Below are 19,862 nucleotides of genomic sequence, written 5' to 3' on the forward strand. Positions count from 1 at the left end.
GGATGAAGGGGAGCTGTGATGCAGGCAGTTTACCCATTAGAACAAAAAGAGATGGACGGAGCTGCCTCTCCCCAGCACCCCGCCTTTGGAACTCACAGCAGGATGGGCTGGTCTGAGGTGATAACATTCCCATTCATGTGAAGGTTGCACTTCATCGGCTGCCCTGAAAAACCAAAGAAAGAAAAAGGCTCTGCTATGAGACCTCGGCTCCTCACACAAGAGGACAAGGGCTGTACCTCCATTATCAATGGTCAAAGCACCCACCACTGGCAGTTCTGGCTCCACAGATGGAGATGGGGCTGCTAGGTTCCAGTCAAGCCAGACACTAAGAAAATCCCAGGGCGTGAGGAAACCTCAGCAGTGGAGCACCAAGAGGCAAAGTGGCCACAAACCTTGCTTCATACAGGAAGAGATGAGTGGGAAGTGAGGGAGAAACGAGACTCAATGTGAAGCCATCCAAGTAGTAAGGGAAAAGGTTTATGCTATCAAATTCAGTGAAAAGATGATCAAAAGCATTATGTACAGGCTTCTACTCTGTCTACAAAGGATGAAGCACTAGGAAGACCACACTCCCACTGTATACAAAGCATAACATGTGTAACGGTAATAGCACAAAAAAGAGGAAGAAGGAACAGGGCCATGTGGGAGTAACATTTCCATATCTTACTCGAGTTAAGTTAGTGAATACATCATTAAAGGAATTAAAATATTGGGGAAAAAATGTGAAAGAAAAGCCACTGAAGAGGAACAAAAAAGTAAAATGGGGCCGGGCGCGGTGGCTCACGCCTGTAATCCCAGCACTTTGAGAGGCTGAGGCGGGTGGATCACGAAGTCAGGAGATCGAGACCATCCTGGCTAACATGGTGAAACCCCGTCCCTGCTAAAAATACAAAAAATTAGCTGGGTGTGGTGGCGGGCGCCTGTAGTCCCAGCTACTCAGGAGGCTGAAGCAGGAGAATGGCGTGAACCTGGGAGGTAGAGCTTGCAGTGAGCAGAGACCACATGCCACTGCACTCCAGCCTGGGCAACAGAGCGAGACTCCACCTCAAAAAAAAAAAAAAAAAAGTAAAATGGAAGAAATAAACCTAATTATCAATATTAAATATGAATGGATTAAATAATCCAATCCAAAGACAGATTGTCAGATTGAATTCAAATAAAAAAAAAACCAGTAAGATCTAACTATACACTCTCTATAGGTGACACATTTTTCTTTCTTTCTTTTTTTTTTTTTTTGAGATGGAGTTTCGCTCTTATTGCCCAGGCTGGAGGGCAATGGTGCGATCTCGGCTCACGGCAACCTCCGCCTCCTGGGTTCAAGCGATTATCCTGCCTCAGCCTCCGGAGTAACTGGGATTACAGGCATGTACCACCACACCTGGCTAATTTTGTATTTTTAGTAGAGATGGGGTTTCCTCATATTGGTCAAGCTGGTCTCGAACTCCCAATCAGGTGATCCGCCTGGCGGATTACAGGAGTGAGCCATTGTGCCCAGCCTAGGAAACACATTTTTACAGTTGATGAGAGAAAAAGATTGAAAGTAAGAGTGGGCCAGGCTTGGTGGCTCATGCCTGTAATCCCAGCACTTTGCAAGGCTGAGATGGGCAGATCACTTGAAGCCAGGAGTTTGACAGCAGCCTGGCCAACATGGCAGAAACCCCATTTCTACTAAAAATACTAAAAATTAGCTGAGTGTGGTGGTGCACACCTGTAGTCTCAGCCACTCAGGAGGCTGAGGCACAAAAATCGCTTGAACCTGGGAGGAAGACGTTGCAGTGAGCCAAGATCATGCCACTGCATTCCAGCCTGGGCGACAGAGCGAGACTCCGTCTCAAAAAAAAAAAAAAAAAGTGAACAAAGATATATCACTCAAATAGCAACCCTAAGAAAGCTGGTCTTTTACTTATTAGCTTATTAGCTATTAGTAATATAAAATGAAATATACTTTAAAACAACAAAAAAAGTGACTAGAGGTAAAGAGAGATTTAAATTTGACTGAAGGGTCAATTCATCAGGAAGAAAACAATCAAACATATATGCAAGTAACAACAGAACCTCAAATATATAAAATAAAAATACACAGAAGTGAAAGGAACAGACCAACAGTAATAAAGATCTCGCCGGGTGCAGTGGCTCACACCTCTAATCCCAGCACTTTGGGAAGCCCAGGTGGACGGATCACTTGAGGTCAGGACTTCAAAACCAGCCTGGCCAACATGAGGTCAGGAAATCAAGACCATCCTGGCTGACACAGTGAAACCCCATCTCTACGAAAAATACAAATATTAGCTGGGCGTGACAGTGGGCACCTGTAATCCCAGCTACTTGGGAGGCTGAGGCAGGAGAATTGCTTGAACCCGGGAGGCAGAGGTTGCAGTGAGCTGAGATCATGCCACTGCACTCCAGCCTGGGTGACAGAGGGAGACTCCGTATCAAAAAAAAAAAACAGAACCTCAGTATTTCACTTTCAATACTAGATAGAACCAAGCAGATCAACAATGAAACGCACTTAAACATTACAAAGCAACAAGACATAATAGACATGTACAGAACATTCCACCTAACAACAAGAAAATACATATTTTCCTTAAACACTCATAGAAGAAAAGAAAATCTGGAAAATTCATGAATATATGGAAATTGAAACAATCCTAAATAACCAATGGGTCAAAGGAGAAATCACAAGGGAGATTAGAAAATAATTCAAGATGAATGAAAATGAAGGCATGATATACCAAAACACGGAATGCAGTTACAGCCATGCTTAGAATATATAGCTGTAAATGCACATACAGTCATGTATCATTTAACCATGGGAATACATTCCAGAGTGCAGTGGCACGATCACAGCTCACTACAGCCTCAACTTCCCAGGCTCAAGTGATCCTCCCACCTCAGCCTCCCCAGCATCTGGGACTACAGGCACACGCCACCACGCGCCCAGCTAATTTATTTTTTGAGACAGGGTCTTGCCACGTTGCACAGGTTGGTCTCAAGTTTCTAGGCTCAAGCGATCCTCCTGCCTCAGCCTCCCAAAGTGCTGGAATTACAGGCTTCAGCCACCACACCCGGCTGTACAGCATGTTACTCTACTGAGTAGAGTAGGCAACTGTATTTGTACATCTAAACGTAGAAAAAATACAGTAAAAATATGGTATTATAATGTTATGGGCCCACTGTCATATATGTGGTCTGCTGTTAACCAAAAAGTCCTTATACTGCATATGAATACATTAAAAAGCAGAAATAAACCTACAGAATGGGAGAAAATATTGGTAAATCACTTATCTGATAAGGGACTTAAGAATATGTAAAGTACTTCTACAACTCAGTATTTAAAAAGCAGACAAAGATTCTGTACAGGCATTTCTCCAAAGATAGCTGGGCACAGTGGCTCATGCCTATAATCCTAGCACTTTTGAGAGGCCGAGGTGGGCAGATCACCTGAGGTCAGGAGTTTGAGACCAGCCCGGCCAACATGGTGAAACCCTATCTCTACTAAAAATACAAAAAAATTAGCTGGGCTTGGTGGCGTGCACCTGTAGTCCCAGCTACTTGGGAGGCTGAGGCAGGAAAGCCGCTTGAACCGGGGAGGCGGAGGTTGCAGTGAGCTGAGATCACGCCACTGCACCCCAGCCTGGGCAACAGAGAGAAACTCAAAAAAAATAAAAAAATAAAAAAATAATAAAAAATAAAAATAAAAAAAAGAAAGAAAAAGGAAAATAAGTATCTTTCCACATCCAAACATATGACAAAAAATAAGAAAAAACAAAAAAAGAACAGAAATTCAAAACAAAATTAATTTCTTTAATGACATACAAATGGCCAATAAGCACATGAAAAGGTGCTCAACATCATTAGCCATGGGGAAATGCAAATCAGAACTCCACTGACTCACCCAGGGGAGTTCACCCAGGTGCCAAGATTTAGCCAAGGCTCCAGGTCTTTTATTTGTAATTTTTTTTATTGTTGTATTGTTTTATTAGTCTCTGCTTCTCCACTTCTAGCACAGGGCCTTGGTCCACAGTAGGCACTCAATACATACTGAAAGAACAAATGAGTGGAAAAGGAGCATGGCAGACAGAATTCTTCTCTACAGGCTGTCTGGAGATGAAAAATATGAACCTCAAGTCAATAAAGTCTGTTGTTTACCCACCAGGAGCAGCTCTCACCCAGGTGTCAACATTCAGACAAAACTCCAGGGCTGGGAGGAACTTCTGCCCTAGCACTAAACAGATCAACATCTGGGAGGCAACAGCTGTGCCTCTTGGCTCCCCTGGCAAGACCCCTTAAGAGAACCATCCATGGAGAAATGCTGTTTTCCTTTTTGCTGGGCTCAAAAGCTTAAGGGCTGGGTGAAAATCCAGGGCCCTGTGTAACCCACAGCTCAGGACTACTCAGAGACTGCACGGCAGTTCCTGGTGCAGACGAGGCCCCAGAGATGGGTTCCACCCATCTCACAGAGACTTCCCCTGGAAGGCCTGCTACCTGACAGCAAGTAGAGATGAGTGGGAGGGTCAGGGGACTGCTTTCTCCCTAACTTACCGTCCAGACACCGGTTGTTGTACTTCTTATATGCGGTGATGGCATCGTCCTTTTTCACAAACACCACCTCCGCTACCCCAGGATGGACCAGTCGAGCTCGCTTGAGGGCCCCACACACACAGAAAAGCTCCTGCACACAACAAGAGGGGTTGGGATTGGGGAAGGATTTCTCAGCACCTGCCGCTCACACACTCTGAAGGCCCTGGGGTGTGGTGGTTCCGCTGCAGCTAAATGCGCCCTGCGCCTGAGACTGCGGGGAGGCTCCACGCGAGGTGGTGCTCTGGAGACATCCACAGGCTTCAACACAGCACCAGATGAGGTCAGCAGTGGGAAAGGGGCTGGGTTTACAAGCCTTGGATCACCTGGGATCTCCCAGCAAGCCACCACCAAAGTCTTCAGTGCCCACCTCAACAGGGATAAAACAGTTATGAAAATTTTCGCAAAGAGCCCTGTCATTAGAATACATGTATACAAAGAAAGACAGCTGCTAATATGTCACCTGAGAATCTGTTACAAATACAAATTCTGGAGTTCTACCCAGAGTCCTGGTTTGGCTGGACTGAAGGGTTTCCCTGGACATGAGACTTTGAGTGATGAAACCAGGAGAGTCCCCAGCAAAACAGGGACAGTTGGTCACTCTAAGTCAGACCTGAGTTTGATCCCCCAGGCTCTGCTTTCTATCTGCTATGAGACGTCTAGCAAATTACTTAACTTCTCTGAGCCTGTTTCCTCCTCTGAAAATAAAAAGGACTAGCTTACTTCCCAGCTTTACTGGAAAGCTCAACTGAGATAATTTTTAAGGCAGTGCTTTGCACACATCATTGAGTCCGATCTCCACCTCATTTTACAGACAAGACGACTAAGGCCAGAGAGGGAGCAAAATGTGAAGATGGACAGAGGCTGACTAGCACTCACGCCATTTCTTCACCTGCAACTGCCTTCACAAGGTTGCTGTGAGGGCCAAAAGAAGGTTTATGAAAAGGTCCTTGACATGGTTTGTTTTTAATGGTAAATATCAAAACAAGATGCCCCTCTGCACCTGCAGGAGACTGGTTCCAGAACCGCTCGCAGATACTAAAATCTGTAGATGCTCAAGTCCCTGCTATAAAATGCTGTAGTATTTACACATAACCTATGCACATCATCCACTATACTTTAAATCATCTCTAGATTACTTATAATACCAAATACAATGTAAATGCTATATAAATAGTTATACTGTATTTCTAAAATTTGTATTATTTCTCATCATACTGTTATTTTTAAAAATTTGAGTATTTTCATTCAGTGGTTGGCTAAATCCACAGATGCAGAACCGACAGATATGGAGGGCCAACTATAAATAGTAGGTGTAATTCCAATTTTATTACCATTGTCCTTTTAACATTGCCTATTTGGGTAGAAGAGAAGCGAGGGTGATTATTACTAGCAATTTCCCCTGAGCACTGATCATGACTGGTGTTTAGTTTTCCACCATTATGTATCTTCCAAGAGTCTGCCTAAAGTGACTGGCACATAGCAAGTACTCAGTAAATGGCAGTTGTTATTACGCTCCTTAACAGCTTTAATTCTTTTCTTTTTTTGAGAGAGTCTCACTCTGTCACCCAGGCTGGAGTGCAATGGCGTGACCTCGGCTCACTGCAACTTTCACCTCCCAGGTTCTAAGTGATTCTCCTGCCTTAGCCTCCTGAGTAGCTGGGACTACAGGCACGTGCCACCACGCCTGGCGAATTTTTCTGTTTTTAGTAGAGACAGGGTTTTGCCATGTTGGCCAGGCTGGTCTCGAACTCCTGACCTCAGGTGATCCACCAACCTTGGCCTCCCAAAGTGCTGGGATTACAGGCGTGAGCCACTGCACCCGGCAATCAGCTTTAATTCTTAATGACTTGTCAAGTATTACACAAAATAGGCTACAATTTCCATCCTCACGTGCACCATTCACAGTACTGTCCCTGCTAAAGGAGAAGGAGATACGAGTGACCCATCTCACGGCATGCGTGTGTTTCACAATTAAGATTTAACCTCAGCTGGGCACAGTGGCTCACACCTGTAATACCAGCACTTTGGGAGGCCAAGACAGGCAGATCATGAGGTCAGGAGTTCAAGACCAACACGGCCAACATGGTGAAACCTCGTCTCTACTGAAAAATACAAAAATTAGCCGGGTGTGGTGGCACACGCCTATAATCCCAGCTACCAGGGAGGCTGAGGCATAAGAATCACTTGAACCCAGGAGGCGGAAGTTGCAGTGAGCCAAGATCGCACTACTGGCACTCCAGCCTGGGCGACAGAGCAAGACTCCATCTTTAAAAAAAACAAATCGAGGTGGGTGGATCATTTGAGGTCACGAGTTCGAGACCAGCCTGGCCAACATGGTGAAACCCTGCCTCTACTGAAAATACAAAAATTAGCCAGGCGTAGTGGCAGGCGCCTCTAATCCCAGCTACTCGGGAGGCTGAGGCAGGAGAATTGCTAGAGCCTGGGAGGCAGAGGTTGCAGTGAACCGAGATCACACCATTACACTCTAGCTTGGGTGACAGAGTGAGACTCCATCTCAAAAACAAAACAAAACAAAACAAAAAGATTTAACAAATGTAGTGACCAGTGCAGTCTGTTAGTCTGGGACTTAACTGCAGGGAGAGGCTGGATTCTCCAAACGTATTCATTTTGTGATCTGACAGTTCAAAGGATGCCTGGATTTCTAAACTAATGGCTCTTTTGGGTGCCTGAATGAAAATGATGTTGAAAAGAAGTCCTAGCTGCATCCAGAACCCCGCTCACAGACATTTGACAGGTTTTGCCCATGACTGCCATGGGTGGGACGGGATGGACCAGGAAGGTGGATACCACCAATCCATCTCACTTCTTTCACTTTGGAATCATCTTGTAATACCTCCAAAGGACACAGGAAAACACAACTATTGGATACTGCCCAGTGGGACTAAAGGATCCCATTTAGGACCCATTATAGCATAGATATCCCCTGACTCTGAGATTCAGGCCAGGCACCTGGCCTTGGCTAGAAGCTGTGCAGAAGAGTGAAGCAGCTGGGCTGACTGCTATTGTTTGAAAGGTCCGATTCCAGGGGTGGCCCTTGGCTGGCATCTGAGAACTCGGATCTCAGGAGGGCTCCTGCCACCCCACAGTTCACTGTGCCTGGACTGTGCAAACAACATGGTTTCTGCTCAACAGCTGCTTTCCCTCTGGGAGTCTGGAATTTTAGTACATGCTACACAGAGAATGCCGAAGTGACCAGCCCCCAGTAAAACCTTTGGGTACTGAGTCTTTAATGAGCTTCCCTGGTGTCACATGTATTGTCACAACTTGCTGCGAGTTGCACCCAGCATCCTGTGCGACTCTGCTGGGAGGGGCCTCTGGAGGCTTGTGCCTCGTTTCCCCCCGACTTCACCCCATGAGCCATTTGCTCTGCATCCTTTTGCTGTCATTAGTCTCAGCCCTGAGCGTGACTATATGCTGAGTCTGGTGAGTCCTAGCAGTCATCAAACCTGAGGGTGGGTCTTAAGAGACCTTTGCCACAGAGGCAGTTTGAGATTTAAATGTTTGGTAGGTCACAGTACTTACAACAATGTCCTCCTCAGTGACTCGAGGGTGCAGATTATTCACAGTCATCTTGGTGCCTTCCAATGGGCTGAGAACAGGCTGCCACACAGACAAGAGCATTACCAGAAGCCAGATGGCTGATAAGCATTCCCACAACAGAAATTCCTCCAGGCACGTGACTAGGAAGGCCCAGAGGAAAGCTCCATGGAGAGTTACCACAAATGGGCCCCCTGAACTTCAGTGTCCACTACACCCCCCATCACTCTATGCTAAAAGCATGGACCCTCTCCCATCTCCCAAATACGCAAGCCTCTCAGGCCCTGAGCCTCTACCTGGAAGGCTACTCATGCTTCCAGACCCACTCAGCTAAAAGAGCCCTTTTTCCCAGACTTCCCAACTGGAATGAGATAATCTGTCCTCAGCCCTCCTAATAGCTTTCTTCTGAGAGAGTCTAACATATCACCAGATACCGCAATCTCTCAGCAGGTCTGCCGTCCCCACTAGCCTGCAAGGTCTTTGAGGGTAAGAGTCCCTAGGTCTTGGTTTGCTCATCTGTAGAATGGGGGTGGCAATGCCCACCTCACAAAGGCGTTGTGGGGAACACAATGAGGTACATATAAGCATACAGCCCTCCTGACCCCAACTGCTGCAGTCACCACCATCACCTCACCTCAGCAGCTGGCAGCTCTTTGGGGGGTTCTTCCTTGTTCACCAGTGTCCGGGACATGTTGGTCAAGGCTTTTGTTCGAATAGAGGAAGGGAGAGCAGGAGCTGTGTATGCATCATTCTGAACCACTTTGGTGAGAGGGAGGGCCTTGGACATGGAAAGCTTGGAACTGCTTAGCCCAGCCTAAACGAAGAGACAGAAAAGAATCTGAGAAGCCAGACCTGCAATGTTCTGAAGAAGCCCCAAGAGGTTGACAACTTGCTGAGAGCATGAACCCTCGATGCCTCCCAGCTCTCTAATTCTATTAGAGGTCTGGAGCCAAAAAGGCTGCCGGCTGCCAGTGACATCCCATAGGGAAGGGGCAGGGGGAGAGAAAAACACACAGCCTGAACGCGCACTCACAGAAGCCACTCCCCACAGTGCTAGAAGCTCTTGGCAGGAAGCTTCCATACAGCCCTGACCTGGAAAATTACCCAGGAGCCACAGGCTCACCCACACCACTTAGACTTTCTAAAAATTCTACAATATGAGGCTGGTCAGAAGGCCAAAAGCTTGGCCAGGCATAGTGGATCACATCTGCCATCCCAGCACTTTGGGAGGCTGAGGTGAGAGGACTGCTTGAGGCCAGGAGTTCAAGACCAACCTGGGCAACACAGTGAGACCTCATCTCTATAAAAAATGTAAAAGAGCTGCTCTGCCTGTGGAGTAGCCATTCTTTTATTCCTTTGTTTTCTTAATAAAGCTGCTTTTGCTTACAAAAAAAAAAATTAAAAGGCCAAAAGCTTGAGGCCAAGTTCATTCCCAGATATGCTTCTATCACAATGTGCTGATCACCACTCTTAAGAAGGCCCAGAATTCAGTGTTTTGGTTCCTCTTCTGGCCATCCAGAGGAACCACACACAGCCTTGGCCTCATCAGCTCCGACTGTCAGGGACACTCGGGCATTTGGCAGTGCAGATCACCAAAAACAGCCCCTCCATCTGGATGTGGTCCCTTGGAAACAAAACTCCCCTGTATTAATGTGTCTGAGGAAAAAGGTGCATAAAGCAGAAGTGACGGGGGCCCTGCTGATTTAGGGCAGTGTTTACAGGCACTGACCCAGGGCAGGGAGAAAGGAGGAACGCAGCGGCCAGAGAGGCACATCAGAGCATGGGCACGGGCAATTCACCACGCTCCTCCAAGTCTGGGTGAAGCAGCGTCATCCCCATGCTGAATTCCACATTCCTCATGTGGAATTCTGCGTCTCCAGAGCTGGGACAGCACAGTGACTCCACACAGGGCCCTGAGAGCGAGACTGCTCGGGCTCCATTCCTAGATCCACTGCTTCTCATCAGCTGGGTGATGTTGAACAGGCTTATTTCACCTCTCCATGCCTGTCCCTCATCCATCAACGAGGGTAATCAACAGTACCCATCTCACAGGGTACAAGACGCATGAGTATAAATATGGCATTTATTCAATTAGGGTATCAAATAGGGATAGAGACTCACTGAGCAAGCTGATAGTTCCCTTGATAGCAGACTTGAGCAGTCTAATTACTGGAAAGGCCTGGTCCCTTTGTAAAGAAACAAACTGGCATCATTCAGCTTCACGACCTCTTTTTTTTTTTTTTTTTTGAGACGGAGTCTCGCCCTGTCACCCAGGCTGGAGTGCAGTGGCGCAATCTTGGCTCACTGCAACCTCCACCTCGGGGTTCAAACAATTCTCCTGCCTCAGCCTCCCGAGCAGCTGGGATTACAGGCACGCGCCATCATGCCCAGCTAATTTTTTATTTTTAGTAGAGACGGGATTTCACCATGTTGCCAAGCTGGTCTCCAACTCCTGACCTCAGGTAATCTGCCCACCTCAGCCTCCCAAAGTGCTGGGATTACAGGCGTGAGCCACCACGCCGAGCCAGCTTCATGTTTCTTTTTTTTTTGAGACAGAGTCTCACTCTGTCGCCCAGGCTGGAGTGCAGTGGCACAATCTCGGCTCACTGTAAGCTCTGCCTCCCAGGTTCACACCATTCTCCTGCCTCAGCCTCCCGAGTAGCTGGGACTGCAGGTGCCCGCCACCACACCCCGGATATTTTTTTTTTTTTTTTTTTTGAGACAGAGTCTCGCTCTGTCGCCCAGGCTGGAGTGCAGTGGCGCCTCTTGGCTCACTGCAAGCTCCACCTCCTGGGTTCGTGCCATTCTCCTGCCTCAGCCTCTAGAGTAGCTGGGACTACAGGCGCACACCACCACGCCTGGCTAATTTTTTGGTATTTTTAGTAGAGACGGGGTTTCACCATGTTTGCCAGGATGGTCTCGATCTCCTGACTTCGTGATCCACCCACCTCGGCCTCCGAAAGTGCTGGGATTACAGGCGTGAGCCACCACGCCCGAACTTTTTTGTATTTTTTAGTAGAGACGTGGTTTCACCGTGCTAGCCAGGATGGTTTCCATCTCCTGACCTTGTGATCTGCCCGCCTCTGCCTCCCAAAGTGTTGAGATTACAGGCGTGAGCCACCGCACCTGGCCCATATTTCTCTTAATTACTAACCAGGAGGCTGGTCCACATACTCAGGACAGTAACCAAAACTGAGTCTTTGAGCGTCTGAAGGAAAAACAAAAGAGGTGGCTGCCACAAGGACCCACCTAGGCAGCCCACTGGCCTCCCTGTCTGACACTTGGCTGTACCACTGAGCTGAGCAGCATGGACCTCCCTGATGATCCCAGATGTTGTTTTCTTTCCTTCTCTGCATGATGTCTGACCAACACTCTAGCCTAGCAAGCTTTCCCTGCATGCAGGCTGCACCTGGTAGAGCCCACAGATCAGGTGAGATGTATTCCTGCTAATGTTAACCAACGGAATCCAGACTCCAAGAGCAGCGCCAGAGCTGCTGACCACAAAGGGTTACGAAGCATGCAGAATGGCCAGCCACCAAGGAAAGAACACAGACTCCCCACTGTGGGATCACTCACACTTTCCCTATAGTGTCTCAAACACAGCACCTAGGAGCTGCAGCCCTGTACTTCACTTGCTGTGGGACCTTGAACAAATCAGAAGGCACCCCAGTGTCTCAGCGTTTATAAAACTAAGGGAATGGACTAGTTCCAGCTCTGAAAATCTTACGGCCCAAACAAAGAAATATTTCTGCATTGAAAGGCTCTATTCACGCCGGGCGCAGTGGCTTACGCCTGTAATCCCAGCACCTTGGGAGGCCGAGGCGTGCGGATCACCTGAGGTCAGGAGTTTGAGACCAGCCTGGCCAACATGGTGAAACCTCATCTCTACTAAAAATACAAAAATTAGCTGGGCGTGGCGGCAGGCGCCTGTAATCCCAGCTACTAGGGAGGCTGAGGCAGGATAATAGCTTGAACCCAGGAGACGGAGGTTGCAGTGAGCCAAGATTGCGCCATTGCACTCCAGCAGCCTGGGGGAGAAGAGCGAGATGTCGTCTCAAAACAAAAAAAACAACAGGTTCTATTCAACACGACCTCTCCCACCTGCCTGATCAGACACGCAGTGTAAGAAAACATGAAATGCCATACCATGTGGTGGAGAAAGCCGCCTGAGGCTGCAAACTTCATCTGTTTAGTAGGAACGGAAGCTATACCATCATCATCTTCATCCAGGTCATATAAATTCTGAGAATATAACATAAAGAAATATAAGCAAATGTGGCATCTGGGCCCTCAACAGACATCTAGAACAGGCATGGCAAGGAAATGGCTGCTGGAGAAACAAAGGGACCAAGGAGAAGTGGGCACAGGGGTGACGGTGCCTGGAAAGACTGGGGCCCAAGTCTTCACAGGCTAACTCCCTGTCAGCAAGGACCCAGTGAAAGTCCTACAACTTCCAGATACATCAGAAGTCCCTTTTTCCCAGTGGGCAGTATGTACCAAGAGTCCCTAAAATGTTTCTTTATATCCTTTGGCTTGGAAAGTCCATCCTTGTTAATATGACCTACAGAAATAAATCCAAACCCTAGAAAGAGCTTTATTTACAAAGATGTTCACAGCAGAAGGATTTCTAACAGTGAAAATGACAGGAAAATGGTTTAAATAAAACTGGAATGCCAACTATATAGATTTTGCAGTTACTAAAACATGTACAGTAAATATGAAATGTCACAGAGAAATGCTTGAGTTACAAAGTGAAAAAAGAATGATACAAAATTGGATAAGAATATAACCATGGCTGGGCTCAGTGGCTCAAGCCTGTCATCCCAGCACTTTGGGAGGCCGAGGAGGGCGGATCACGAGGTCAGGAGATCGAGATCATCCTGGCTAACATGGTGAAACCCCGTCTCTACGAAAAATACAAACAATGAGCCGGGCATGGTGGCATGCGCCTGTAGTCCCAGCTACTCGGGAGGCTGAGGCAGGAGAATGGTGTGAACCCGGGAGGCGGAGCTTGCAGTGAGCCGAGATCGTGCCACTGCACTCCAGTCTGAGTGACAGAGCGAGACTCGGTCTCAAAAAAAAAAAAAGAATATATAACCACAACCACAACTATGAGTTAAGTAAAAAACAGACTGGGGCTGGGCACAGTGGCTCACGCCTGTAATCCCAGCACTTTGGGAGGCCAAGGTGGGCGAATTACCTGAGGTCAGGAGTTCGAGATCAGCCTGACCAACATGGAGAAACACCGTCTCTACTAAAAATACAAAATTAGCCAGGCGCGGTGACTCATGCTTGTAATCCCAGCTACTTGGGAGGCAGAGGCAGGAGGATCGATTGAACCCAGGAGTTCGAGACCAGCCTGGGCAACATGACAAGACTCCATCTCTACAAAAATTAGCCAGATGTGGTGGTATGCACCTGTGATCCCAGCTACTCAGGAGGCTGAGGTGGGAGGATCATTTGAGCCCAGAAACTCAAGGCTGCAGTGAGCCATGACTGCACCACTGCACTCCAGCCTGGGGGACAGAGTGAAACCCTGTATCAAAAAAAAAGAAGCGTACATGTAAGGAACTATGGCAAAATTTCAACAGTGACTGGCTTTGGAGAATAGGAACTTGAGGGACTTTTTGGCAAGTTTTCTATATTAAGCACATAGAACTTTTATTTAAAAAAATTAGGCCGGGCGCGGTGGCTCACACCTGTAATCCCAGCTCTCAGGGAGGCTAAGAGGCGGGAGGATAGCTTGAGCCCAGGAGTTCGAGACCTGCCTGGGCAATATAGCGAGACCCCGTTCTCCAGAAAAAGGAAAAAAAAACAAAACAAAAGACAAAAAAAAAAAAAGCGTAAAAAAATTAAAAAAAACAAACAAAACTTTTTTTAGCCTCTCTGCCCCCTATGCCTCCCTTCCTCTATTAAGAAGTTTCTTCTTGGCTGGGTGTGGTGGCTCACGCCTGTAATCCCAGCACTTTGGGAGGCTGAGGCGGGGGGATCACAAGGTCAAGAAATTGAGACCATCCTAGCCAACATGGTGAAACCCCATCTCTACTAAAAATACAAAAATTAGCTGGGTGTGGTGGTACGCGCCTGTAGTCCCAGATACTCAGGAGGCTGAGGCAGGAGAATCACTTGAACCCGGGAGGCAGAGGTTGCAGTGAGCCGAGATTACGCCACTGCACTCCAGCCTAGCGACAGAGCGAGACTCCGTCTCAAAAAATAAAAAAATAAAAAAAATTTCTTCTTTAAACTCAAATTGCAAAAAGTTCGCTGTAACCCTGCCTCCAATACTACCAACTGGGAACTACCAACTGAGCAAGCCTCAGTCCATCCACCCAAGTAGGCCTCATCAAAACACGTGCACACCTACATGTTCGCTATGTACACACAGATTCTCTCTCTCTCTCTCACTCACTCACTCTACCTGTTTGGCCTGGTGGTTATTGACAACATTGATTCTCATTCCGGCAGGATGGGGATGAAGTGGTGCCATGGCTTTCTGCTGTGGAACCTGGAAACACTCAGTGGTCAGAATCCACCCCACAGGGTCCACATGCATTCTCTAGAAGAAGGGGGTTACTGAACTTGATACATGGTGGGCATGCAGCTTTGGTCTTTGGTAAAAGGCACTACAGAGGGCCTTATCCTCCACAGTAGGAAGTAACAGAAGAATCATCAATCCAGAGACCATGCCGGTAACGCACATGTAGGGCTTAATGGACTTGGCTCAGTAAATGTTTGCTGTGGCCGCTGCTGTTCCTATTACCAAAGCTGCTATGAAGGTTAAATGACATTGTTTCCTTTCCCTCTGTGGTGGCAGCTGTGAAGGGTGGCCAGGGCCTTGGACTAGGGGCCAAATCCCACTGGGCCTGGGGGTGGAGTGAGGACTGTAAGGTCACAGATATTAAGGGCCTGCCACATAGCATGTGCTCAATAAATCTTTTGTCCTTTCCTCTCTCTTTCTTCCACCAGTATCTCACCTGGGAAAGTCACCAAATTTCTATGGGCCTCCTTTTTCTTTTTTTTTAGAACTGAGATAATACCTTTCCTTCCTTGTATAGTTCCTTGGCTATAACGTACTTAAAGCCTCTGTAAGGAGCAAAGTCTGTATTATGCCAACACTTGAGAGGATAGTATTTTTGCCCAGTCACTCCTGGCACCTTGCCTCTAAATCTACCTTTGTTACTAGCTTTCTGGGAATTCATGACAAAAGCCACAACTCACCTGGATGGTTTTGGTGAGCTTCAGAGCAGGGGTCACTGTCCCAATGGGTGGGTTTATGAAGGCAGCAGGGGAACTCCTCTTCAAGCTGATCTTCTCCCGGGCATCAGCAACCTGGCGGGGCTTCTGGGGCACCGTGGTCTGCTGCTTGCGAGAGTTCAACATCTCTCTGGCATCCTGCACTTTCCCTTTGATTCGAAATCGGGCATCTTTCTGCAAAAGCTTCTCCCGGGCATCCTTGACTCCCAGTTTGAGCCGGGCATCTGAGAGGCCAATCTTCTGCCGGGCATCAAATCTCTGCTGGAAGGTGGCTGTGCGTGTTGACTGGCTGAGAAGGCCTTGCTGGATCCCAACTCGAGATCGGACACCTCCAACTCCCGGTCTGGCATTAAGCCTGTAAATATAAATTGCAATCAATATTAAGTGGATCTGGGTATCTACAGCAGTCTATGAAAGCGGAACTGTGGTAACACTGGGGACAGAGGAGGCCCTGGAGAATCAGAAAGCGGCTCCTTGCCTGTGATTGAATAAACGATTATGCCTACATGATGACTCCTTTCCTGGTTTCATGATGGCTTTTAACTTTGCATTTTAAGCAAAATTAAGAGAGAGGGGCTGGCAAGTTTTATTCCTAGTTAAGAGTGTTTTGCTTCCTAGACCACGTGTCTTGAGACACCAACATGGACAATAACTTCCCAACAATGCCAGTCAAATAAAATAAACATCCACCAAATCTAATCCCACTCATCTGAGGAGTAACTTTAGTTTCCAAGGCCCATCCCCATCCATGTTCTCACTCAGCCCTCTCAGCACCCTGAGAAGTACTTACTATGCCCACTTTACAGTGGGAGAAGCAGGTTTGGAGAGGCTCAATGATTAACAAAGAGTGTCTCTAAGGAAGGCAGACACCATCTACTGGGCTAAGACCAAGAGAGCAAACATATGGGTCTGGCTTAGAGCTAGAGGAAAACAGAAAACACAAAGACTTGGTAGGAAAGAAAGAAAAAATTGCAATAGCAAAAATATCAAATACAGAAACCACTGAAATTGGAAATGATCGGGTACAGGGTTCGCTATTTGGGTAATGGGTACACTAGAAACCTAATCCTCACCAGTATGCAATATAATCCATGGAACAAACATGTACATGTACCCCCTGAATTTAAAATAAAATATTTTTTTTAACTGGAAATGAATGAAACTCCATAAACAGGCCCCGGTCTCTTTCTTGGGTTCCTCTGTTGGCCTACAGTGGCTTGAAAGTGAACAGAAGGCCCTCCTGAGTATAGCGCTGGAGATCCTCCCCAAGGTCTTTGGGCTTCTTCTGTCGCCTCCCACCCTCAGGCCTCTCTACAATAGCTACCCTCAACGGCCACTCATGCGGCAGACGCTCTGCCTGCGGACTCCTATGTCAAGGGGTGCTCTTTGGGAAACCCTCCCGGATTTCTCCAGGCCAACTCTCCTCTGTGCCTATTATTATACCTGCTTGTTTCCTTTTTTCTCTCCCTACCCTGGGTGGGGCGGGGGGAGGAGAATGGGGTTCAGTCCTTTTGCAGGGCCCAGCACCTCCTAAGCAGCATCGAGCCCTGGCTGAGTGTCAGAAACTCCTGTGGAGCTTCTTAAATACAGAGCTGTCCAGATCCCACCCTAGATGCTGAATCCAAAATCTGGGGCGAGGCCTGGCCATCTGCATTTTTAACTCCATGGGTGATTCTGGAGAAGAGCCATGTTGAGGATCTCTGACCTGCTGTTAGAGGGTAAACTCTGCTGCATAAACGAGTTCCTGTATTGCCTCCCACTTCACTGCCTGGACCTCCCAGGAGGCATCTCTCATACTGGGTCAGTCACTGGCACTCTCCCACTGCTGCATTCCAGTGGCTGGAGTGAGATTGGCTGTCAGTTCCTCTGCTAATGAATACCAGAAGTGCAGCCAAAGGTGAGTCTACCTGGTACCAATAAAAGCAAACGTGGACCTTCATCTTGTTATCCCTCAAATAATGGAAAAACACCTGCTGCCTCCAATATGCCAGTACCAAACCTAAGGCGGTAATACAGACTGAACATCTGTGTCCCCCCAAAATTCCTCTGTTGAAGCCTAATCTGCAATGTGATGGTGGTAGAAGGTGGTGGCCTTTGGGAAGTGATTAAGTCATGAGGACAGAGACTTCACAAATGGGATTAGTGCCCTTTATAAGGAAGAAGCCCCAGAAAGCTCCTTGGCCCCTTCCACCATGTCAGGACTCAGCAAAAAGACCATCTACAACCAGGAAGCAGGCAGGCCCTCATCAGACATGGAATCTGCCAGCATCCTGATCCTGGACTTCCCAGACTCTCTGTGACAAGGAAGTTTCTTTTCTTCAGTTTTGTTTTGTTTTGTTTGAGATGGAGTCTTGCTCTGTCATCCAGGCTGGAGTGCAGTGGCGCAATCTTGGCTCACCGCAAGCTCCGCCTCCCGGGTTCATGCCATTCTCCTGCGCCAGCCTCCCAAGTAGCTGGGACTACAGGCGCCCGCCACCACGGCCGGCTAATTTTTTGCATTTTTAGTAAAGATGGGGTTTCACCGTGTTAGCCAGGATGCTGTCGATCTCCTGACCTCGTGATCCGCCTGCCTTGGCCTCCAAAGCGTTACGATTACAGGCGTGAGCCACTGCGCCCGGCAGTTTCTGTTTTTTATAAGTTACCCAGCTTAGGGTATTTTCTTATAGTAGCCTAAACGGACTAAAACAGGCAGTGATGCATGCTATCATTTTTCTCTTTGGAGTGGCAAATTCAGATTTAAAGATTTTCCAGTGGGTTCTGGGTAGAAGGGTCATTTATACAATTAATCAGATAAGGCTTAAGGTTTACTTGGCCATTCCTGTCCTATTTTTTTAATGTGAGGACTCTGGGAGATGGAGGCACTAGAGAAAGCAGGGCCAAAGGAAGGGAGTGTTCAGGGGGTCGGCATGCACGATTAGAAAGAAATGGTTGTATGTGGTAGATGGCATCCACCCTCCCTAGGACTGGGCTACCCTAGGCTTCGTGTTCCATGGCCTACAAAGCCATAGACAAACTGGGACTATGCTTTGGGGTGACCTCAGAAACTTGCAGCTAGGCCAGGCACAGTGACTCACACCTGTAATCCCAGCACTTTGGGAGGCCGAGGCTGATGGATTACTTGAGGTGAGGTGTTCAAGACCTGCCTGGCCAACATGGTGAAACCCCGTCCCTACTAAAAATACAAAAATTAGCCAGACGTGGTGGCACGCGCCTATAATCCTAGCTACTCGGAAGGCTGAGGCAGGAGAATCAGTTGAACCCAGGAGATGGAGGTTACAGCAAGCCAAGATCACACCACTGCACTCCAGCCTGGGCGACAGAGCAAGACTCTGTTTCAAAAAAAATAAAGGACATGATCAATGAAAACTTCTGAGTATTACTCACTACAGGTTGACAATTTTTCACACAGACTTTTTTTTTTTTTTAAGAAACAAGGCTGGGCACAGTGGCTCATGCCTGTAATCTCAGCACTTTGGGAGGCCAAATGGCAGGATGGCTTGAGCCCAGGAGATCGAGAACAGCACGGGCAACATAGCGAGACTCCCTGGGCATGGTGGCTCACACCATGTAATCTCAGCACTTTGGAAAGCTGAGGCAGGAGGATGGCTTGAGCCCAGGAGTTCAGGACCAGCCTGGGCAATATAGTGAGACTCCATCTCTATAAAAATGAAAGCAGAAAATTATCTGGGCATGGCAGCATGAGTCTACTCCACAGGCTGAAGCAGGAAGACCACCTGAGCCCCAGACTGCAATGTTGCCGTGAGCCAGGATCGAGATACTGTCCTCCAGGCTGGACAACAGAGCAAGACCCTGTCTCAAAAACATATTTTAAAAAATTTAAAAGGACAGAATCTCATTCTGCTGCTCAGGATGGAGTGCAGTGATCATAGCTCACTACAGCCTTGACCTCCTGCCTCAGCCTTCTAAGTATGGAGCCACCATGCCCAGCTTTAGACGTCCTTTAAATGTTACAACCCCGTGAATCAGGTTATTGTTCACATCTTATAAATGAGGAAACTCAGAACCAAGGAGATTAACTATCCCAAGAGCTACTAAGGGGTGAGGAATGGACTTGAACTTCACTGTACCTGGTTCAAGCATCAATTAAATAAGCATGGGTCAAGAGTAAACAGCAGAGCTGGAAGAGTTAAGAAAAAAACTTCTAAAAAATAAAAAACACCAGGAGCAGTAGCTCATGCCTGTAATCCCAACACTTTGGGAGGCCAAGGCGGGCAGATCGCTTGAGCCCAGGTGTTCGAAACCAGCCTGGGCAACATGGCAAAACCCTGTCTCTACAAAAGATACAAAAAAAATTCCCTCCCCCTCCCCCTCTCCCCAGTTTCCCTCTGATGCCGAGCCGAGGCTGGACTGTACTGCCGCCATCTCGGCTCACTGCAGCCTCCCTGCCTGATTCTCCTGCCTCAGCCTGCCGAGTGCCTGGGATTGCAGGCGCGCACCGCCATGCC

The 19,862-nt window shown here is 47.7% G+C and overlaps 1 protein-coding gene across 5 annotated transcripts in view, besides 1 other annotated feature; it reads right to left on the reverse strand.

The window, feature by feature from the left end:
- The window catches only part of POLDIP3 (DNA polymerase delta interacting protein 3), a 31,163-nt gene that overhangs the window by 3,689 nt on the left and 7,612 nt on the right, over nucleotides 1–19,862 (reverse strand). Inside the window, exons 2-8 of one of the 5 annotated variants that reach the window (NR_103820.2) lie at nucleotides 15,361–15,751; nucleotides 14,561–14,647; nucleotides 12,289–12,384; nucleotides 8,777–8,956; nucleotides 8,128–8,194; nucleotides 4,546–4,675; nucleotides 97–163 (exon numbers count right to left, since the gene is read on the reverse strand). Coding sequence is in view for 4 of the 5 variants with exons in the window: in NM_001278657.2 (NP_001265586.1) it covers nucleotides 97–163; nucleotides 4,546–4,675; nucleotides 8,128–8,205; nucleotides 8,777–8,956; nucleotides 12,289–12,384; nucleotides 14,561–14,698; nucleotides 15,361–15,751 (1,080 nt within the window). In the remaining variant the exon portion in view is untranslated. Of the gene's footprint in view, nucleotides 1–96; nucleotides 164–4,545; nucleotides 4,676–8,127; nucleotides 8,206–8,776; nucleotides 8,957–12,288; nucleotides 12,385–14,560; nucleotides 14,699–15,360; nucleotides 15,752–19,862 lie in introns of all 5 variants that reach the window. The other 4 variants (NM_032311.5, NM_001278657.2, NM_178136.3 and 1 more) reach the window with 4 other exon arrangements.
- Nucleotides 14,794–15,088: an enhancer, noted in NCBI's record as "tiled region #2357; HepG2 Activating DNase matched - State 5:Enh". NCBI's record gives its function as "activates a minimal TATA promoter and a strong SV40 promoter by Sharpr-MPRA in HepG2 cells {active_cell/tissue: HepG2}" and the evidence as "EXISTENCE:reporter gene assay evidence [ECO:0000049][PMID:27701403]".

This window comes from Homo sapiens, chromosome 22 (assembly GCF_000001405.40).
Source record: "Homo sapiens chromosome 22, GRCh38.p14 Primary Assembly".
NCBI classification, from domain to species: Eukaryota; Metazoa; Chordata; class Mammalia; order Primates; family Hominidae; genus Homo; species Homo sapiens.